Source organism: Homo sapiens, chromosome 1 (assembly GCF_000001405.40).
Source record: "Homo sapiens chromosome 1, GRCh38.p14 Primary Assembly".
NCBI lineage: Eukaryota > Metazoa > Chordata > Mammalia > Primates > Hominidae > Homo > Homo sapiens.
This window is the reverse complement of record NC_000001.11, coordinates 156,839,336-156,860,679: the sequence shown is the minus strand read 5'-3', so window position 1 is coordinate 156,860,679 and position 21,344 is coordinate 156,839,336. Positions and strand designations below refer to the sequence as shown.

Genomic DNA, 21,344 nt, shown 5'->3' with positions numbered 1-21,344 from the left:
CTCCGGCAGACGCTGAGGGGCCGCAGCAGAACGCCTCGGAGGTGTCTGCTGAGGCCGGAGGTGGGAAGCTGATACGTTATTTCTCTCAGCTTAAAGCAGCTGCATTTTTACATTTGGGGAGGAGGGAAGATGACTGCGTTGAGGAAAGGTTGCTGTCCAGGTCATCCTAGCCAGCCCCAGGCTCAGCGCTCCATCCTCGCGGCGCGCGTGCCTAGGGGAGTGAGCATGTCACTTGGAGTAAGTTAGGTAGAACATTCTCCGAACTCTAGGAAGAAAACGAAAAGGACTACCAAAGGATCAATCGCAGAACCTGGGGAGGAAGACACAGACGGGGCAGAGAAAGGGAAGGGGTCGCCTAATCCGGCCGAAGGGAGTCCGGAGAGCCAAGACCGCGCCTCCAAGAGAAGCCACAGGGTGGCGCGAGAAGCCCGCGCGCAAAGGCGCGAGCTCCCCGCCCGCGCTGGGTGCCTGGGGGTGCGATCTGCAGCCCCCAGTGAGCAACGCCTCAGGTCTCAGCTTCAGTCCCTGACCCCGGCCAGCCAGCGCCGGCCCCGGGGCAGGATAGGGCAAGGCAGGGCAGGGCTGACATCGATCGCCTCCCTGACAAGAGCATCGATTTATTCGTGAAGAAATTAATAGATCTTCTCTTAGCTCCTCGGACGCAGGAGCCGCCCGCGGGTGGAGCTGAGGACCGCGCACCTTGGAGGCCGAGCACCTGGAAAGCCCCGGGATCCCCAGCACCCAGGGCAGCAGAAGGCTGGTCCCAACCCCTCCCACCGCGCAAGCCTCCGTGGCTGCACTAACCCATCCGTCTCAAGCTGGGGAGAGCGAAGGGAAGAGGGGTGTCTCTTGGCGGGGAGACAGGCAAGGCCCCAGGGAGCGGGGGAAGGACGACCTCCTAGAGGCTCACGGTTCTCTCCGCCAAGGCCCCAGCACGGATGGCCCCCCAAGTCCCCGAGACAGGGACACACAGACCGACCGAGCAGCCTGAGCTCAAGAAGGTGACCAGACGGAGGCAGAGCCCTACACAGTGATCGCCTTCTTCCTCGGGATCTTGGTCAGAACCAAGGGACTAGGCGGTGACGGAGCCTGGCGCTAAGGGGTCTCCAAAGAGGACAAGGAGGCCTCCTAGGAGGCTGAGAGGGGCTCCCAGAGGCCAAGGGCTGTCCACGTTCTCCCGGGTCGAGGCTGCCAGAAGTTACCCCGCAGATGTCAAGGCACCGGGAAGCAGAATCTAGACACAGCGCTCCCCAGAAGCCCGGGCGCGCTGGCTGCCCCTCCGGCGGTGCAGCCCCACTTGGAAGAAGCCTGTGGTGGGGACAAAGGGTTGGCGGGAGCCGCTGCAGCCGCAGCGGGATTTGAGGAAGCTCAGTTCTTGGCCCACCCTCCCCCCGTATTTTGGCCTTATTTCCCCAACAGACCTGTCCTCCCCTCAGTTGTCAGGCTAAATATTTTGACTTGGCGGGAGGGGTGGAGAGAACGGAAAGGTCCCTGCGAACCAATCTGTTTAGGCGGGGGGCGGGGAGGGCGGGAGCTGGGCGCGGCCCCTGCGTGCCGGCCCTGGGAAGGACCGCAGCCAGCACTGTCAGCTGGCGCTGGGGGGCCGCGCGCCCGGAGGGATCCAGGGAGACTCTCCCTGCGGAGTCCCACGCGCCCCGGGACCCCCGCTGCCCTCCTTGGGAGCGGTCCCCAGCCTGCTGCTCCGCCCTCAGGGTTGGCTGGCCTCTCGGCCTGCCTTTTGCTCAGAACCCTGTGTCATTTTCTCCCTCTGGAGGCCCGAGACTCTCCCTGTCACTGTCTGCATCTCTGTCCCCATCTCTCAATCTCATGCTGAGTCTCTCTGTCTCCAACTGCCTGTCACTGTCTTTGTGTCTCTGTGACTCTCATTTCTTTTTTTCTGTCTCCTGCTGTCTCTGTGTGGGATTCCTTGTCTCTCTGCCCCTGCCCTCCCTCTCCTATCTGAACCCTGGTCTCTGTGTCCCTTAGGGCTTATCACACCGTTCTCCCCAGAGTCACCGGGAGGAGAGCCGGGACTGGACACAAGCCAGGGCTGGGACAATGGCAGTGCCTAGTCTGTGGCCCTGGGGAGCATGCCTGCCTGTGATCTTCCTCTCCTTGGGATTTGGCCTGGATACAGTAGAGGGTGAGTCCCCAGAACTGGCTCCCAGACCCCTACCTCCCTCCCAGCCAGCTGGGAGGCCAAAAAACTGAGCTTGCAGCCACAGCACCTCCACTTACTCTGCACTGGAACATGGGGGTTGGGGTTAGCGCTCAGGAGAACTGCCCAGCAGGAAAAGCAGTTAGTTCCCCACATAAAGGTGTTTTTCCCTCAGCTCCCTCAGAGATGAGAAGAGCTTCAAAACGTGGACAAGTAGATATCTTCCGTCCCTACTAGTGAAACTGTGATCCCAGTGAAGCTTGCCTGAAAACCCAAATGAGGCCGTGAGAGTGTTAGAAGTCATCTCTAGGGCCACTGAATGGGAAGAGGCAGGGGTGGGATAGGTAGCTGAGAACCAGGCACCATTAAGTAATGGAGGCAATGTTGCCGACAGGAAACTGCAGCTCTGAGAACTAAGGGTAAAGCTAGACTGGGTCCTGAGCTCCTGCCTCCAGGGCCCTGTCCTGTGTCCCCCCTCTTAGGGCCCAATCCCTACAGGGAGGAAGGCTGGTTTTGGGGGAAGACTGCTCTTCCTCAACACCCCAGGGCCTGTCCCCCAGGCTAGATACTGCCCATCAGTACGTTTTAGAGAGGAGGGGTGGGGGGACTATATAGACTAAATGACCCTCATGGAGGTGCTGGGGGATTGGTGGAAAGAGGAAAAAGAGCTGAGGGTGGAAGCTTCAAAAAGGGAAGGATTAGGAGGTATCCCCTTCCCCAGTCCCACCATTCCCCTCCAAACTGAAGCAGCTCAGGAATCCAGACTCTGTGCTTGCCCGAGAGGTCCTATGATGCCCCTCAGACTGGGGGCTCCCAGGGGCAGGGGAGTCTCCTCTTCCCATGGAGATGGGAGAGTGATGCAATGGGCTGGGTAGGAGGTCCCCTAAAGGGTGCTAGTCACAGATCCTCTGTCTGTAAGGCATAGCACCACTCCCCCGACCACCGAACCCCCTCCTCTTCTGCACAGCAGATGCCAGCTGGGAGTGTGGTTGTCAGGACAGGAGCACATCCTTGGAGGGGCTAGTATTTGCTCAGGGGACCCAGATGTTCTGTTCCCAGTGCAGCTCTGCACAGAGCCAGGTCCTGAGGGAAGGCAGGGGTTAAACTGTGAAGGTTTTAGATTTGTTTTTCCAAATGACTCCCATCAGGGGAGCCCTGGAGAGGCAGGGGCATGATGGGAAGTGGGCGCCTGAGAGAACCCCTATCTGCCTCGCAGAGCCTGATTGGCTTTTGCCTGGAAGGGATAGAAGTGTTTTCTCATTCTCTCTCCCTCTTTTTTGTGTGTGTATCTGCGTGGGCTCAGACATACACACACACACACACACACACACACACACACACACACACACACACACACATACACAGCTGCTGGGCAGAGCCAAGCTCAGGACCATTAATGACAACAGGGAGAAGATGTGAAGTAACCCCCAGGGAGCCAGCCTTGCCTGCCCACCTCTCTTAACAAACTATCAGGAATGGGGCCTGGATAGCGTGGCATGTGGCATGTGGTGTTTGTGATAACACCGGAGGGCTCGGTGGGAAGGGAAGTAGAGGCTGGAGACGTTAGCAGGAGCTGAATGTCAGGCTGAAACATTCAGACTTGAATCTTCTGCAGTGGGGAGCCACGGAAGGTCCTCTTGGGAGCAAGAGAGTCCAGGGAGAGAAAGGGAAGTGGGGCTTGGGCCCTAGTGAAGAAGCGAGACACACCCAGGTCCCCAAGGAAGGAGTGAACTTGGGATCCAGACATCCATTGTCCATGGTTCCTGAGTGCCCAGTGGTTCCAGCCCTGGACTGGGCACAACTGGGGGAAAGCAGAGCTGACTAACAAGGGTCCCACCCTCCTTGGAGGGGGTGACAGAGATGTATACAACAATTTTGGAGCCATGCCCCCAGGTAATGTGATGTGGGCGCTGGACTAAGTGTAGCTGAGCCTAAAGGGGAAGTGATTAACTCCAGGCCAGAGGGTCAGGGAAGAAAGGTCTGACCCGAGAGGCTGAAGGACCCTTCTGAGGCTGGATGCATTAGTAAGGAATGGTTTATCTACACCCTACAATGTCAGGCTGAGGAACTGAAACTTGAATCTTTAGCAATGGAATGTCCTTTCAAGAGTAATCAAATTAATTCAGGGAACAGGCATCTAACTCCCTTAAGACTGGGAGAGACATGGGACCTGCAAAGCTCAGATCACTTCTTCGCAGTCACAGAATTCACTCATTCATTCATTCATCAAATATTTATTGAGTGCCAACTTTGTGCCAGGAGCTATTGGTATAGCCACTAGGGTACAACATGAATTATACAAATATCCCTGCCCTTATGGAGCTTACAATAAACAAAATATATCTATTTCTATAAATAAATATCTATGTTAATATATAAATTATATTTTAGCCAGTGTTAAAAATAAATATATGGCCACGCATGATAGCTGATACCTGTAATCCCATCACTTTGGGAGGCCGAGGCAGAGGGATTACTTGAAGAGGCCAGGAGTTCAAGTATGCAGCAAACTATGATCCTCCCACTACACTCTAGCCTGGGCAACAGAGTGAGACCATGTCTCAAAATATTATACACATACAAACACACACACACACACACACGCACATTAGTCAGTGTTAAGAATTATAGAGAAAAATAAAGCAGAAGGGGGAGTAGAAAGTGTCACAATTTTATTTATTTTATTATAATTATTTTTAGACAGGGTCTCACTCTGTCGCCCAGGCTGGAGTGCAGTGGCGTGATCACGGCTCACTGCAGCCTTGACCTTCTGGGCTCAAGCGATCCTCCCACCTCAACCTCCTGAGTAGCTGAGACTATAGGTGTGCACCACCATGCCTGGCTAATTTTTGTATATTTTTTTTAGAGGTGGGGTTTTGCCATGTTGCCCAGGCTGGTCTCGAATTCCTAGGCTCAAGCAATCTTCCCACCTCGGCCTCCCAAAGTGCTGGAATTACAGATGTGAGCCACTGCACCCAGCCAGTGAAAATAGAAGTCAATTTTAACTAGGATGTTCAGGCCGGGCGTGGTGGTTCACGCCTGTAATCCCAGCACTTTGGGAGGCCAAGGTGGGTGGATCAATTGAGGTCAGGAGTTGGAGACCAGCCTGGCCACCATGGTAAAACCTTGCCTCTACTAAAAATGCAAAAAATTAGCTGGGTATGGCGGCGGGCACCTGTAATCCCAGCTACTCGGGAGGCTGAGGCAGGAGAATCACTTGAACTCAGGAGATGGAGGCTGCAGTGAGCTGAGATTGTGCCACTGCACTCTAGCCTGGGCGACAGAGTGAGACTCCATATCAAATAAATAAATAGATAGATAGATAGATAGATAGATAGATAGATAAAATTGGATGGTCAGAGAAGGCCTCATTGAGAAGGGGACATTTGGCCAGACTTAAGGAGGTGGGCAAGCCATGTAGAGGGAAGAGGATTCTGGCCAGAAGGAACAGAAGGACAAAGACCCCAAGGCAGAAGCTTTGCTGGCTTGTTATAGTAGTAAAGCTCCTGTTACATATAAGGAAAAGCAAAGAAGTCAATGTGGCTGAAGATGATAAAAAGGATGAAATCAGAGAGGCTACAAGGGCTCAAACTGTGCAGGGCCCTGTAGGCTGTAGTAAGATCAAGAGAGATGGAAGTCACGGGGGGTTATAAGCAGAGGAGAAACGTGATCCATCTGTGTTTTGAGATCACTCTGGCTGCAGAGTGGAGAATGGCCCATAGAGGGACAAGGGTGGAACTGGGGAGACAGTTTGGGAGGCTATGACTGTCAATCCAGGGGAAGATGATGGTGGAAGCTGTGAAGGTGTTGACAAGCAGTTCAGATCCTGGACATATTTTAAAGATAAACCCACAGGACGTACAAGGTGAAAAAGAAAGGTGTTAAGGGTGACTGCAAGAATGAAGTCGCTGGGAGTCGCTTGCAGTCGTTGGGAGCCTGACTGCAAGAATGAAGTCGCTATTAACCAAGAAGGGGAGATGGGCTTGGGAGAGAGGATCAGGAGTTCATTTTTGCCTGTGTGGCTCATCTGGTAGAGACCCTGCAGGCTGCAGGTGAGCCCTCCGGGGCCCAGGAAGGAGGCCACCCCACACCCAGAGCAGAGCCCGGCTCCTCACTCATTGTCCTACTGCCAGTGTGGCTCCCCTCCAAAGCTGCCAGGGCTGGATGGGGAATTTGGCCTGGGCTGTACTCAATGCTGCGTGCCGTGTATGCCCACAGTGTGCCCCAGCCTGGATATTCGCTCAGAGGTGGCAGAGCTTCGTCAGCTGGAGAACTGCAGCGTGGTGGAGGGCCACCTGCAGATCCTGCTCATGTTCACAGCCACCGGGGAGGACTTCCGCGGCCTCAGCTTCCCTCGCCTCACCCAGGTCACCGACTACCTGCTGCTCTTCCGTGTCTACGGACTGGAGAGCCTGCGCGACCTCTTCCCCAACCTAGCAGTCATCCGCGGGACGCGCCTCTTCCTGGGCTATGCACTGGTCATCTTTGAGATGCCACATCTGCGTGACGTGGCACTGCCTGCACTTGGGGCCGTGCTGCGTGGGGCTGTGCGTGTGGAGAAGAACCAGGAGCTCTGCCACCTCTCCACCATTGACTGGGGACTGCTGCAGCCAGCACCTGGCGCCAACCACATCGTGGGCAACAAGCTGGGCGAGGAGTGTGCTGACGTGTGCCCTGGTGTGCTGGGTGCTGCTGGTGAGCCCTGTGCCAAGACCACCTTCAGCGGGCACACTGACTACAGATGCTGGACCTCCAGCCACTGCCAGAGAGGTGGGCACTGGCACAGAACATGAATGTAGGGAAGGGAGAGAGCAGGGTCACATGGGGCTGGGTGGCCACAGGATGGTGTGGGTCAGTACTTTCAGCTGCCACTGTTTTTTAATCCTCACTCATCCTATGAGGCAGGTAAGGAAACTAAGGCTCAGAAAAGTTACGTAACCAATGTGGCATAAGACAGCTAAGGGGTAGGCCCAAGGCGGCATCATGGAATAGGTGAAGGACAGGTTCAAGGTGGGCATGGGGGGAAAAGAATAGGCATGAACAGAGAGTAGGCAGCGCAAGAAGCAGTGTGGGGCAGTGGCTAAGTCCAAAGCCAGAGGACCTGGGTTCAAGTCTCAGCTCTACCACTTACTGGCTATGTTCACTTAGCCTCTCTGTGCCACAGTTTCCTCAGCTGTAAAATGATCATTGGGTGTCATGAGGAATGAGTTACTCTACAAAGTGTCAGAGCAGGGCCTGGGTCATGGTAGCAGTTCTATGTTCCTAATCAGAGTGGCCACAGCACAGTGATCCAGGGTCAGCTGGCAATACTGTAATGGGAGGTTGAGGTTGGGGGTGAGCAGGAGAAGAAAGGAGATGATCAATGAAGAACTGAACAGGTGAGAGCAAAGATGTAAGGTGGGACCTTTAGGATGATGCAAGGAGAGGAAAAAAGCAGTAGAGAAAGGAGAAAGGAGGAAAGAAAAGGGATGGCTGGTGCAGGAGTAAGCAAAACGTTATAGGAAAGGAAAAGAAAACCTTTCAGAGGTGGGGAGCAGATCTGGGGTCCCCCAACCTGGTGGTCTTTTCCACTCAGCTCCTGGAGGTCAGCTCCTCTCACCCCCAGCGCCTCAGCAGCAGGGCGGGCGGGAGAGTAACAAGATCCCTGCTGTATCGGCTGCACCCCACCTCCCTGATGCCTCCCTGTTGGCTGTAAACACAGCTGCTGCGCATCCTCTCATGTACAGTGTCAACACGACCTGGCTGACCCCTACCCCACAGATCGCTCCCATAGCCAGCCAGCTACCACTGTGCAGTTTCTAGGCGATTGGGCCTCCAGCTCCAAACCCTCCCACTGCTGCTTGGAGCCACCTCCTGCCCAGGGCAGGGAGCTGAGGTGGGGGCGGTATGGGCAGGAGCATGGGTAAAACGACAGATGTCGGCCCCTCCCTGCACACACTCCCAGGCCCCTGGGCCTAGCTGCTCAGGAGAGGCTGGCCCGCTCACCCTGGCACCATGCCCAGCCATGATCTGGGCACCAGGCCTAGATAGGATAGACAGGACAGCAGGCTGGAGAGCAACAACCCTGATGGACAAGGTCACTGCTCTGTCCTGAGCTCTGACACCCCCGACTAGGCACTGTGGGAGGTGGGGAGCCACAGACGGCCACAGTCCTTGTCCTCAAGAATCCCATCGGAGGGGAACAGAGTCGGCAACCAGTGTCATCTGAATGGGAGGGACCTGGGTGCAGATTGAGTGTCATCCCAAGAGAAACAGGGTGGGGCCAGCATTGGAAGGACAGCCAGGACTGAGGGGGCATGGCCAACGTCTAACACACCACTCTCCCCACAGTGTGCCCCTGCCCCCATGGGATGGCTTGCACAGCGAGGGGCGAGTGCTGCCACACCGAATGCCTGGGGGGCTGCAGCCAGCCAGAAGACCCTCGTGCCTGTGTAGCTTGCCGCCACCTCTACTTCCAGGGTGCCTGCCTGTGGGCCTGCCCGCCAGGCACCTACCAGTATGAGTCCTGGCGCTGTGTCACAGCTGAGCGCTGTGCCAGCCTGCACTCTGTGCCCGGCCGTGCCTCCACCTTCGGCATACACCAGGGCAGTTGCCTGGCCCAGTGCCCTTCTGGCTTCACCCGTAATAGCAGCAGGTGAGTGTAGGGAGGGTGGGGGGCACCCTGGGAGCAGTGAGGAGGCCTGAGGAGGCCCAAACTGGTCCAAGGCTCAGGACATCTGCTTGCTCCTGCTAGCATATTCTGCCACAAGTGCGAGGGGCTGTGCCCTAAAGAGTGCAAGGTAGGCACCAAGACCATCGACTCCATCCAGGCGGCACAGGATCTTGTGGGCTGCACGCATGTGGAGGGAAGCCTCATCCTCAACCTTCGCCAGGGCTGTCAGTACCTACTTTGGGGCCACACCCCTCCTCCTGGTCATACCCTTCCTCCCAGACACAACCCTTACAATGACCCAACTCAGCACAATTTTCCATCATCCTGGGTCCCAGTCCTGAGGGCCCACCTTCCCGGGGCCCCCATTCAGCCCCCTTGCCCCACAGACCCATCACCTTCCTTGCTCCTACTCCAGCCCTGTCTTCCCATCCCTAGACAACCTGGAGCCACAGCTGCAGCACAGCCTGGGGCTGGTAGAAACCATTACTGGCTTCCTCAAAATCAAGCACTCCTTTGCCCTCGTGTCCCTGGGCTTTTTCAAGAACCTCAAACTAATCCGGGGAGACGCCATGGTGGATGGGTAAGGGTTAGGCCTCTGACCAGCTCCTTCTATTACACTCCTTCCTCCAACACTCCCAGAACAGTGGTGAAGAGAATGGGCTCTGGAACCAATTTTGCTACTCACTAGGCGTGTGACTCTAAGTAGGTTAACTTCTCTGGTCTTCAGTTTTCTCATCTGTAAAATAGGGCTAATATAACATTACTTACTTCTCAGGACTGTTTTGAATATTACTCAAGTTGTTATGTGTAAAGCACATAAAACAATGCCTGGAACACAGTATATACAATATAAATTACAGTCACATATAACTCTATAACAGTTGGCTATAATTGTCATCATCTGGTCCTGTCAGCTGCAGAGCAAGACTGCCTGGGTTTGAAACCCATTCCTATCATCTGCCAGTCAAGGCCTACCTATAATGTAGCCAGCATTTTTTAAAATAAAAAGAATGAGCCAGGCACGGTGGCTCACACCTGTAATCCCTGCACTTTGGGAGGCTGAGGCGGGTGGATCACTTGAGGTCAGGAATTCAAGACCAGCCTGGCCAACGTGGTGAAACCCCATCTTTACTAAAAATACAAAAAAAGTAGATGGGCATGGTGGCACGTGCCTTTAATCCCAGCTACTTGGGAGGCTGAGGCAGGAGAATTGTTTGAACCCAGAAGGTAGAGATTACAGTGAGCCGAAATCGTGCCACTGCACTCCAGCCTAGGGCCTGAGTTACAGAGAGGGACTCCATCTCAAAAAAAAAAAAAAAAAAAAAAAAAAAAAAAGAATGTTTTAAATTACCATCCAGGTCGGGCACGGTGGCTCCTGCCTGTAATCTCTGCACTTTGGGAGGGCAAGGCAGGAGGATCACCATGCGGTCAGGAGTTCAAGACCAGCCTGGCCAACATGGAGAAAACCCATCTCTACTAAAAATACAAAAATTAGCCAGGTGTGGTGGTGGGCACCTGTAGTCCCAGCTACTCAGGAGGCTGAGGCAGGAGAATCACTTGAACCTGGGAGACAGGGGTTACACTGAGCTGAGATCGTGCCACTACACTGCAGCCTGGGTGACAGAGGGAGACTCCAGCTCAAAACATACATAAATAAATAACCAACCAGGCCAGATGCGGTGGCTCGTGCCTGTAATCCTAGCACTTTGGCAAGCCGAGGTGGGAGGATCACTTGAACCTAGGAGTTAGAGACCAGCCTGGGCAACATGGTGAAACTCTGTCTCTATAAAAAATACAAAATTAGCTGACCGTGGTGGTGCATGCCTGTAGTCTCAGCTACTCAAGAGACTGAGGTGGGAGGATCACCTGAGCCCGGGAGGTCAAGGCGGCAGTGGGCCACAATTGTGCCACTGCACTCTGGCCTGGATGACAGAGTGAGGAAAAAAAAAAAAAGTTACCATCTAGTCATCTAGTCTAGTGGCTCTCTGTGGCTTCTCATGTCTCCAGACACATTGCATGTACACCGAGAGTGTCCACACCTCAGCTGGAAAGGAATGGCCCAGGCTGAGTACTACTCCTCCTGGTGTCTCCAAAGCCTCCAGAGTCTGGCACATAGCAGGTGCTCAGTTCAAAGAGAGTCGAGGGAAGGATGGGGGCAGGGAAGCTGAGGACCCCATTTCACTGATGAGGAAAACCAAAAGATGGGGTGACTTGGCAGACATCATACTCCTGGTCAGTGGCACAGAGTGGGTATGCACGAATGCCCCCGGTGTGCTGGTGTGAGCCAGCCACTGAGTGCCCCTCTCCCCGGGCCCAGCAAAACCCTTCCAGGAGGAACCCATAAGCCATCCCCTTTCCCACCCCCTGCCCCCACCTCCCCGCAGAGCAAGGTCCCCTGGCCTCCCCCAGGAACTACACTCTCTACGTGCTGGACAACCAGAACCTACAACAGCTAGGGTCCTGGGTGGCCGCGGGGCTCACCATTCCCGTGGGCAAGATCTACTTCGCCTTCAACCCGCGCCTCTGCTTGGAACACATCTACCGACTGGAGGAGGTGACAGGCACGCGAGGTCGGCAGAACAAGGCTGAGATCAACCCCCGCACCAACGGAGACCGCGCCGCCTGTGAGACCCCAACCCCAGTGCCGGTGGACACGCGGCCACACACTAGACACGCACACCCGGGGGAGGGAGAAAGCTCGAGGGGGACACTCTGAGAAGTTCTCCTCAGAGGTCTCACTGGGAATGGGATGCCGCGGGGTCAGGGTGGGCGCTCAAGCAGCTGGCAGGCGCGGTTGCGAGCAGGCCCCTCGCCCCACCCAGGCCAGACTCGCACCCTGCGCTTCGTGTCCAACGTGACGGAGGCAGACCGCATCCTGCTACGCTGGGAGCGCTATGAGCCACTGGAGGCCCGCGACCTGCTCAGCTTCATCGTGTACTACAAGGAGTCGTGAGTGCCGGGGGCGGGGCCGGAGCGGGGGCGGGACCGGACGAGGCCAATTTCTTCGGGACCACAGGCAGGTGAGGGCGGAGCTCAGCGAGGCTATGAAGACCCAGGAAGCCAGGACCCGCAAGTTGTACTCCGTGGTAGGGCCCAGGTCTGGCTCTCTTCCCTCACCTTCTTCATGCCTTCATGCCTCGGTTTCCCCTCACCAAGTGAAATGGAGAAGACAGGGCTTCTGAGAGCCCAGGAGAGCCATCCTGCTGGGAAGGCTTGGATCATTAAACTTCACTTCATTATGCTAATGTTCTACACTGACCACACGCTCCTGCCCCAGCAGCGGTTTGGGGAGCGCCCACTAATTTGGCCAGTTTTATGAGCAGCTCTGCCAGCATTTCATTTAAGCCTTAGGAAGGGAGGGAGCAGGGGCCGCCAGGGACCACAGCTGCTCTTTTCTTTGGAGAGAGTCAACTGACCCTAACAATGAGGATAGTGGTTAGACCACAGGAAAGACTTCTCCAAAAACACGGTTAGGAATCAAAAGGAGATATCCTTAGAGGAGGGAAGTGGATTTCAGATGCAGGCTGGGAAGGCAGGAGTAAGGAGTTCATGCTCTCTCTCTCTGGTAGATATTATAGAAGATGGAGGCCACCTGGCTTAGAAGCATTTCCTGTGAATTAAAATGGAGAGGACTTAGCTGACCACTGGCTCAGGGTCTGGCTTGGGAGGAGAAAGGAAGGAAGTCAGTTGTAGGAGACCCACTCAAATGGCCGAGACCCTCCTAGGTCTCAGTGGTAGGTGAAGGTCTCCAGCGTGGGCAGCTGGAGAGTTTGTTAAATACAGATTCCTGGGCCTCGCCCCCCACTGATTCTGATTCAGTTAATCCTGAGCAGGGCCCAAGAATTCACATGTCTAATAAGCTCCTAGGAGATGCTGAAGCTGCTGGTTTGTGGACTGCACTCTAAGGAGCCCTGGCATGACTACAGTGTGAATCTCCCCCAGCTCCCCGGCTTGTGCACTTCACAATCTGCACAACTATACACAGCTGTCTCTGGGCTCAAAGAGCAGAGAACCTTGGGAACCCTTCAACAAGCTTCCCTAACATCACTGCCCTGCAGCGTGGCTGCAGCTATGCTCCCTCAGAGACACACACTGCAGATCCTGCCCAATCCTGACTCCAAACAGACCCAGACCTGCTCAGTGTGTCATGCCTCACAGGACACCTGCTCCCATGACACCCACTATGAGCCCCCACCCCCCCAACCTGCTCCTGGACTATCCTGCTTATAGGTCCCAACAAAGGCAGGCACTTCCCGCTGGGCCACAAGTTCCCCCACTGCCACCCAATTTGACCTCCCTCAAGTTTTGTCCCTGGCTCAGCATGAATTCCATCATCCCCTTCCCAGTCCAAAGAAACAAATTATCATGAACATCAATGTGATGTTCCATTGTCTCCCATGGTCTGTTCTGCTATCTCCCATGGGGGGCCCACTGTCATCTCCCCCAGGGAGCCCTCTTCTACCCCTAAAGCCAGTGATGCTTCCCCAAGCCCTGCCCCGAAACTGGCCTTCAGGCAGCCAGCACTAGTTGCCTCTGGCCCCTTAATTTCCCTGTGGCAGTGGGTCTTGGCCTTTTAGGGTCATGGACATGTTTGAGAAGCTGTTGAAGCTAGGAACACTCTCTCTAGAAAAACACACATGCACAAAACTTTGCTATAGTTTGGGAGGCTCATAAACCTCCAAAGTCAATTCAAGGGCCTAAGTGAAGACACTGGGAAGGGAGCAGTCTCCTGTTCCTCGTTCCAGGCAATTAGACTTAGGGGAATTAGGATAACCTTATTGCTTGCTGTTTCTAGGAGAGGGGACTCTTTCACACACACTTTCTTGTTTTATTTATTCAATGCAAGATTTTTTCAATATTCATTGAAACTAGAACTTGATATTCCCTGCTAAGGATGAGGAGCTATATCATTACAAATTTCACTGACACAGATATCACAGTCCCTCCCCTCCTCCGCCCCCCCTTGCCAAGGTCTAACAGGTGGCTGGAGTCATGGCTTTGCCCTCATGCATACTGGAAGGACAATGACAGTCCTGGGGTGATTCAGAGCGGGGGTGCCAGAACTTGAGGGTGGGGTTGAATGACCCCTCAGCTCTGGGGATGGGTGTTCAGCCCATTCCAGAACGCCACAGAGCACGTGGGTCCAGATGCTTGTGGAACCCAGAGCTGGAACCTGCTGGATGTGGAGCTGCCCCTAAGCCGCACCCAGGAGCCAGGGGTGACCCTAGCCTCCCTCAAGCCTTGGACACAGTACGCAGTGTTTGTGCGGGCCATCACGCTAACCACTGAGGAGGACAGCCCTCATCAAGGAGCCCAGAGTCCCATCGTCTACCTCCGAACGCTGCCTGCAGGTAGGCATTTGGAGGGTGCAAGAGTCAGTCAGACGCCTGCATCCATGAGAACAGGGGAGCACAGGCACCAGAAATAGAGAAGCCGGGGCACTGAACACCTGGCCCACAGAGGCTGGAAGGCCAGATGCTTGAGTCCTAGAAAGAAGGGGGAGCATTTGCCTAGGTCCTTGCGGGGCTGGGATTGGGACAGTCCGGGGTCAATAGCTGAGGGAACTGAAGGGCCTATGGCAGAGAAGGGGAGGACAGAAACAAAACACTGAGTTCTAGGAAGCCAGGGGTGAGGATCACCTATTCTTTGGGAGAACAAGGCTGTTGGACCCCAGAAAGGAGGGCTCATTACTAGATAGTATTCAGGAGGAAGACCCACACCCCTGAGTTGCATCCTTCTCGCACTCCTAGCTCCCACGGTGCCCCAAGACGTCATCTCCACGTCCAACTCCTCCTCCCACCTCCTGGTGCGCTGGAAGCCACCGACCCAGCGCAATGGGAACCTCACCTACTACCTGGTGCTGTGGCAGCGGCTGGCAGAGGACGGCGACCTCTACCTCAATGACTACTGCCACCGCGGTGCGCAGGGACGACGCGCAGGCCGGCCGCGGGGCGGGTGGGGAAGGGGAGATGGAGGCGCAGGGCCCCGGCAGGTGGGGGGGATCAGAGGCGGGTAGACCGCCTGTCTTACTAGTGTCTTCCCGCTGCGGCGCCAGGCTTGCGGCTGCCCACCAGCAACAACGATCCGCGCTTCGACGGCGAAGACGGGGATCCTGAGGCCGAGATGGAGTCCGACTGCTGCCCTTGCCAGCACCCACCTCCTGGTCAGGTTCTGCCCCCGCTGGAGGCGCAAGAGGCCTCGTTCCAGAAGAAGTTTGAAAACTTTCTACACAACGCGATCACCATCCCCATGTGCGAAGAGCGCGCGCGGCCTGGGAGGGTCTGATGAGTGGGGCCTGTGAGGGGCGGGTCTTGCGGGAGGGGTGGGGTTTGTGGGTGGGGCCTTGCTTGTGTGGGCGGGTCCCGGGTTGTGGGTGCTTTTGGAGGCGGTACGCGCTGCAGAGGGCACAGGGGTGCATCCGGACAGGCCTGATAGGGCTACTCCTGGCCTCCCCAGATCCCCTTGGAAGGTGACGTCCATCAACAAGAGCCCCCAAAGGTGAGCAGGACTAGGGCAGGTGCTGAGGGGCGTGGCTTTGGGGGCTGGGCCTTGGCTCTGACTCGCTCTCCCCAGGGACTCAGGGCGGCACCGCCGGGCAGCTGGGCCCCTCCGGCTGGGGGGCAACAGCTCGGATTTCGAGATCCAGGAGGACAAGGTGCCCCGTGAGCGAGCGGTGCTGAGCGGCCTGCGCCACTTCACGGAATACCGGATCGACATCCATGCCTGCAACCACGCGGCGCACACCGTGGGCTGCAGCGCCGCCACCTTCGTCTTTGCGCGCACCATGCCCCACAGTAGGTGATCCACACACACACCTTCTACCCCCATCACCGACCCCAAGGACCCTGTGCAAAGGTTTGGGGTTTGACTTCTCGCTAACCCCAGAGCCTCGCTTTGCTTGCCCCTCTCAGTTCCCATAATCCCAAAGCTTTCCCCACCTCCCAGCTCAGCCCAGTTTAGCTTGGGTTTGAACATAAGGTGAGATGAACCACTTTTGGCCCGGCTGCTGGATGCCCCTTCCCGCAGGAGAGGCTGATGGTATTCCAGGAAAGGTGGCCTGGGAGGCCTCCAGCAAGAACAGTGTCCTTCTGCGCTGGCTCGAGCCACCAGACCCCAACGGACTCATCCTCAAGTACGAAATCAAGTACCGCCGCTTGGGAGAGGTAGGTGCCCGTGGGACCCCCGTCCCAGCCCCGTTTTGTGCCTACATCGCCTTCCCAGCCAGCTGTTCTGCGTTACTCTCAGGAGGCCACAGTGCTGTGTGTGTCCCGTCTTCGATATGCGAAGTTTGGGGGAGTCCACCTGGCCCTGCTGCCCCCTGGAAACTACTCTGCCAGGGTTAGGGCAACCTCACTGGCTGGCAATGGCTCTTGGACAGACAGTGTTGCCTTCTACATCCTTGGCCCAGGTATACACAGCCTCTGTCACAGACCTGTATCACCGAACAGCCCTACCTGGTCCCCAGCCCACCACAGGCCCCTCCCCCGCATCCCTCCCCATCCTCACCTCCCAGCATGGAAAGAGAAGCATGACCTTCCCTCTGACTTCTACATCTTTGACTCTACCCTCTGCTGCCCTCTGACTGCCAGAGGAGGAGGATGCTGGGGGGCTGCATGTCCTCCTCACTGCCACCCCTGTGGGGCTCACGCTGCTCATCGTTCTTGCTGCCCTTGGTTTCTTCTACGGCAAGAAGAGGTGATGATAAGTCCCACCGGTCCCCACCCCCTTTTCTCCCTGAGCCCTCATCATAAAGTCTGTCAAAGGGAGGTAGATGAGACAGTAGAAAGACAGGTCTTCCATACAGGCAGTAACTCTTCCCCTGCGGTGGCACAGAGGAAACATACCTCTCAGTTAGGGTGACCAACTCATCCCGGTTAGCCTGGGACTTTCCTGGTTTTATCAGTAAAAGTTGCACATCCTAGGAAACCTCTCAGTCCAGCCACACTGGGATTGTTGGTCACCACACTCTCACACCACCTGTCAGGTGTGAGAGTTTGTGCACCCAAGCTGAAAAATAATAGAGCTGTCCCTTATTAGGAGAAGAAGCAGGAGGCCTGGGGATGTGTTCCAGAATGCCTGATGTCAGATCCTTCCAGGGCTGACTGCAAGAGGAAAATGGGGCTGGACCTCGATCAGCTTGGCTATAGGGACTAGCTGACAGGGCGGAAGCCCCTTTACTCCTGTGTCCTCCCTATTCCCTGTTAGATCCCAGGAATAGGGCCAAGGCCAACTTGGAGGGTACTTAGGGATCCCCAGGAGTCACCCTGACCAAGGCTGGGGGTGTGGTCAGTAACTTCCCTCCTCCTTGAAATGTCCTTCTTCCTTCTTCTGATGTTGCTCATTCCTTCCTGAGAACCCTTCCAGCCTGACCCCCTCACCTCCCGTTGCAGAAACAGAACCCTGTATGCTTCTGTGAATCCAGAGTACTTCAGCGCCTCTGATAGTAGGTCTGGGAGTGGGTGGACAGGTGGTGTGGGAAAGGGAGACAGGAGAGGAGCAGAGACAGACTTCCAGAAGACCTTCTTGCAGAAGATAGCCTTGGGACAAGAGCCCTTCAGAAGAGGAGAAGAGAAGTTGGGGGGTGAGGTGTGGCAGAGAGCAGCATCCTCGCTTTGTGACCCTCCACCTCCTTGCAGTGTATGTCCCTGATGAATGGGAGGTGCCTCGGGAGCAGATCTCGATAATCCGGGAACTGGGCCAGGGCTCTTTTGGGATGGTATATGAGGGGCTGGCACGAGGACTTGAGGCTGGAGAGGAGTCCACACCCGTGGCCCTGAAGACGGTGAATGAGCTGGCCAGCCCACGGGAATGCATTGAGTTCCTCAAGGAAGCTTCTGTCATGAAAGCCTTCAAGTGTCACCATGTGGTAAGGGAGAGCCAAGGGCATTGTCAGGGTCATAATTAGTGTAAAGGTCATGTGGTAAGAAAGAAAGGGTCAGAGATGAGGTTAGGGCACCATTAAGGTCAAGATTGGGACCATGGTTAGGATCCTAATTGGGGTAAAGGTCATGGTTAGGGTTAGAGTCAAACAGGGTCATAGTAGGGCCACTGTAGAGTCATGGCTAGGGCTGAGATCAGTCATGATTGGGGCTCAATATTGGGTGTCCAGATCATTATTAGAGTCCTGATTGGGCTCAAGGCCAAAGTTGGACCAAGTTCGTGACTGTGATGATCATCAGATATGATGAAGGTCATGGGTTAGGGTCAGGGTCATTGTTAGGTCAGGAGTCAGGTTATAGTCATGGTTGGGGTTAGGGTCAGGTTTGGTGTCTGAGTCAGACTGTGGTCATAGCAGATCAGAATTTTGGCCAAATGGGTCAAGGGGAACTAGGGGGTCTGCTAGGCCCTTTGTCTGTCCCAGGTGCGTCTCCTGGGTGTGGTATCTCAGGGCCAGCCAACTCTGGTCATCATGGAGTTAATGACCCGTGGGGACCTCAAGAGCCATCTTCGATCTTTGCGGCCTGAGGCAGAGGTAGGGACCAGGAAGACCCTGGGGAGTGAAAGAAGGGTTGGGCACAGTGTGGGAGGTGGGGGCCAGTTCTGGACAGGAGACCAGCCTCTGGGTTCCTTCCTCACCAGCCCCCAATCTTGGCTCTAGAACAACCCTGGGCTCCCACAGCCAGCATTGGGGGAAATGATCCAAATGGCTGGTGAGATTGCAGACGGCATGGCCTACCTTGCTGCCAACAAGTTTGTGCACCGAGATCTAGCAGCCCGCAACTGCATGGTGTCCCAGGACTTCACCGTCAAGATCGGGGGTACAGAGGGTGCCAGGCAGATGAGGGCGGCCTGAAAAGTAGAGAGACTCCCTTAAGCTAGGCATCAGGAGACCCACAGCCCTGGTCCTGACAGCCTGTGAGACCCTTGGCAAGTCACCCCCACCCTGTATCTTAGTCTCTTGTCCAAGGGCAGAGGGGTTTGGATGGGATGAGTTCTGAGGTCCATTGAGCCCCTACTTTCCAGGGTTCTTGGTGACTCTGGAGGATGAGAAGATTGGGAGAGGTATCCCAGGGGCAGGAGCTAGTGCGTGGCTCTTATGCCCCACACCTCCTCCACCCTCACCCTCACTTTCCAGACTTCGGGATGACTCGGGACGTGTATGAGACAGACTATTACCGCAAGGGTGGGAAGGGGCTGCTGCCCGTGCGCTGGATGGCCCCCGAGTCCCTCAAAGATGGGATCTTCACCACCCACTCGGATGTCTGGTGGGGCCGAGCTGGAGCACAGGGCTCCAGGGATGTGGAGGCGGGATCTGGGGAGGGGCCTGGAACACCCCCATCCCTTGGAATGCACTGAGTAGCACGAAGGGTGCTGGGCTCAGGAGCTCCTGCATGCCCCCAGGTCCTTTGGCGTGGTACTCTGGGAGATTGTGACCCTGGCAGAACAACCCTACCAGGGCCTGTCCAATGAGCAGGTGCTGAAGTTCGTCATGGATGGCGGGGTCCTGGAGGAGCTGGAGGGCTGTCCCCTTCAGCTGTGAGTCACCTCCCCTGCCCCTTCCTCATTGTTGATCTACCTACAACCCTCCCCCACCCGGCCCCATGATTCTGGCTCACCTCCTCTGATGCTTTGACATCCACTGACCCTCAGCTATGAGCGCCACCCCCCTATCCCAAACCCCCAAGACTCCCATTTAATCCCTTCTCACCCTCCCAGGCATAATGGCCCACGATCCCCACTCCCACCAACTGACCCTCAGTGCAGGAGGCTGAGAGCGTGGCAGGGGCTCCCGGATGCCTCTGACCCTGCTCCCCACACCCACCAGGCAGGAGCTGATGAGCCGCTGCTGGCAGCCGAACCCACGCCTGCGCCCATCTTTCACACACATTCTGGACAGCATACAGGAGGAGCTGCGGCCCTCCTTCCGCCTCCTCTCCTTCTACTACAGCCCGGAATGCCGGGGGGCCCGGGGCTCCCTGCCTACCACCGATGCAGAGCCTGACTCCTCACCCACTCCAAGAGACTGCAGCCCTCAAAATGGGGGTCCAGGGCACTGAGGGGCACCTCATTCCCTGGCTGGCCTCCCATGGGGAGACAGGAAGGGACCCGACCTCTGTGGCTGAGACGCCTGAATGTTCACCCCCACCCCAACTCAGGGCAAGGGATGGCCGAGGGTGGGGCAGAGAACAGGAGCAGGGAAGGCTGTGGGGGTGGGCAGAGGGGTCTCACCATAGGAGTTTCTCAGACTCTGAGTCCCTCGGGGGAGAGCAAGCAGGGTCAAAGCCAGAGGAGTAGAGATCAGGTCAGGGAGAGATGTCCTGCCCTCAGAGGTAGGGACCCCACTCAGACTAGGAAGAGGGGGCCCGCCCACCCTAGAGGCCCTGCCCCTCAGTTTGGGGTCTCCTCTGGACAGGTAGGGCCAGCGACATGTTTGAAATCAGATGAGCAATCAGAAGCAGGCCTGGGGCGCTCTCCATGCATGTATGGGAGGGGGGTGGGGCTCCACATGACTGCCTTGCTTGCCACTGGTTTCACCTCCTCCCCTCAGCTCCACTGACCAGGTGGCATGGGGAGAACCCAGGGGCCTGGGGAGTGGTTCCCAGCCTGCCCGCCCTCACCTCCTCCTCTCCTTTTGCCCTGCCCAGGGCTCCCCAAGCTTGGTGCTCCTTCCTCCTTTTCTCCAGGGGCATCCCTTGGAGTACAGTCACCCTTTCTTCAGTCCCTCCCCTCAATGATTAGCCCTGGATGCTTAAGGCTTTCAGAGCCTCATCTTCCTCCCTCCCCTCACCCTCACCCAGCCCCGCCCCCACCCCTGCCTCTCATGGGAAGACTGGAGAAGGCACAATAAATGCTGAGGCCTGTTTGTACCCTGGTCCCAGGCAGCCCATTATCTCTCCATCTACATGGTGTTAACACTGGATGAACTTCCTTTCTCCCTCCTCTGGGACTCGAGGTGGTGACCCTAAGGCAGAGACACGGGATAAATACACTGCTGTCAAACACCACCTCCATGAGGACCCGAGCAGCCAGGGTTGCCATGGCAGTGAGGCAGGACAATCTTGCTATTATCTCCTGCTCAGGACCAGAAGTGGTTGAGCCCGGCAGGGAACCTTTGTGTCTAGCCTCCAAGCAGAACCAACCAGTCCCGGACACCTCATCTTAATTTCACCCCTTGTTATGTTCGTTATATCGGTCCACTGGGTAGGTATTTTCTGGAGTGTCATAGGACAGACTTTAAGTGGGCAGACATGGGGCAAGGGAGAGGCCCTGATGACATCACCTGTTCATGCCAGATGCCCCCACCCAAGCCAGGGAACACACAGCAGAGCAGGGTCTGTGTGTCTGGCACCCTGTGGTTATCCTGGGAGGCCAGAATCTCAGTGTTCATCGCACGTGTAGAGACACCATTGAGGCATGTGGATGTTGCACAGGAGAGCCAGCTCCCAGGCTTTTCTGCCAGTGCCATGAGGGCATTTGAAAGGGAAGGGTTGCAAAAGAATGACTTCAAACCTTGACGAAGGGGGTGGCAGCGGGAGGGGCTGCCCAAGGCTCAGAACTCTTTAGCTTCCTGCCCCCAGGGGCTTGGGGCATAGC

The 21,344-nt window shown here is 56.1% G+C and overlaps 2 protein-coding genes across 2 annotated transcripts in view, besides 5 other annotated features; one reads left to right on the top strand and one right to left on the bottom strand.

Moving 5' to 3' along the window:
- NTRK1 (neurotrophic receptor tyrosine kinase 1) overlaps positions 1-21,344 on the bottom strand; it is a 66,101-nt gene that overhangs the window by 21,171 nt on the left and 23,586 nt on the right. Inside the window, exon 2 of the mRNA NM_001007792.1 lies at positions 18,487-18,599. Within this exon, the coding sequence (NP_001007793.1) occupies positions 18,487-18,599 (113 nt within the window). The remainder of the gene's footprint in view (positions 1-18,486; positions 18,600-21,344) is intronic.
- Positions 130-199: an enhancer, noted in NCBI's record as "active region_1885". NCBI's record gives its function as "activates an Ori minimal core promoter by ATAC-STARR-seq in GM12878 lymphoblastoid cells {active_cell/tissue: GM12878}" and the evidence as "EXISTENCE:reporter gene assay evidence [ECO:0000049][PMID:35858748]".
- INSRR (insulin receptor related receptor) lies at positions 1,563-20,617 on the top strand. Its single transcript, NM_014215.3, has 22 exons — positions 1,563-2,143; positions 6,377-6,928; positions 8,489-8,792; positions 8,892-9,034; positions 9,246-9,390; positions 11,220-11,434; positions 11,633-11,759; positions 13,923-14,161; positions 14,561-14,728; positions 14,866-15,061; positions 15,267-15,308; positions 15,384-15,604; positions 15,837-15,973; positions 16,056-16,218; positions 16,400-16,505; positions 17,201-17,253; positions 17,447-17,676; positions 18,172-18,282; positions 18,409-18,568; positions 18,886-19,015; positions 19,152-19,286; positions 19,576-20,617. Exons 1-22 carry the CDS (start codon positions 2,059-2,061, stop codon positions 19,805-19,807), a joined length of 3,894 nt encoding a protein of 1,297 aa, NP_055030.1. The 5' UTR covers positions 1,563-2,058; the 3' UTR covers positions 19,808-20,617.
- Positions 12,449-12,743: a silencer, noted in NCBI's record as "tiled region #5756; K562 Repressive DNase matched - State 18:Pol2". NCBI's record gives its function as "represses a minimal TATA promoter and a strong SV40 promoter by Sharpr-MPRA in K562 cells {active_cell/tissue: K562}" and the evidence as "EXISTENCE:reporter gene assay evidence [ECO:0000049][PMID:27701403]".
- Positions 15,588-16,223: an enhancer, noted in NCBI's record as "H3K27ac-H3K4me1 hESC enhancer chr1:156814249-156814884 (GRCh37/hg19 assembly coordinates)". NCBI's record gives its function as "activates a minimal SCP1, AML or CMV promoter by ChIP-STARR-seq in naive H9 embryonic stem cells {active_cell/tissue: H9 hESC(naive)}" and the evidence as "EXISTENCE:reporter gene assay evidence [ECO:0000049][PMID:30033119]".
- Positions 17,978-18,657: an enhancer, noted in NCBI's record as "H3K4me1 hESC enhancer chr1:156811815-156812494 (GRCh37/hg19 assembly coordinates)". NCBI's record gives its function as "activates a minimal SCP1, AML or CMV promoter by ChIP-STARR-seq in primed H9 embryonic stem cells {active_cell/tissue: H9 hESC(primed)}" and the evidence as "EXISTENCE:reporter gene assay evidence [ECO:0000049][PMID:30033119]".
- Positions 18,658-19,339: an enhancer, noted in NCBI's record as "H3K4me1 hESC enhancer chr1:156811133-156811814 (GRCh37/hg19 assembly coordinates)". NCBI's record gives its function as "activates a minimal SCP1, AML or CMV promoter by ChIP-STARR-seq in primed H9 embryonic stem cells {active_cell/tissue: H9 hESC(primed)}" and the evidence as "EXISTENCE:reporter gene assay evidence [ECO:0000049][PMID:30033119]".

What these genes read in the sequence shown, in the direction of transcription:
- INSRR (NM_014215.3), top strand. Translation starts at nt 2,059, where the DNA reads ATGGCAGTGCCTAGTCTGTGGCCCTGGGGAGCATGCCTGCCTGTGATC. An exon ending in CTCCAGCCACTGCCAGAGAG is followed by an intron (nt 6,929 to 8,488) that starts GTGGGCACTGGC and finishes CTCTCCCCACAG; the next exon opens with TGTGCCCCTGCCCCCATGGG. An exon ending in GTACTTCAGCGCCTCTGATA is followed by an intron (nt 17,254 to 17,446) that starts GTAGGTCTGGGA and finishes ACCTCCTTGCAG; the next exon opens with TGTATGTCCCTGATGAATGG.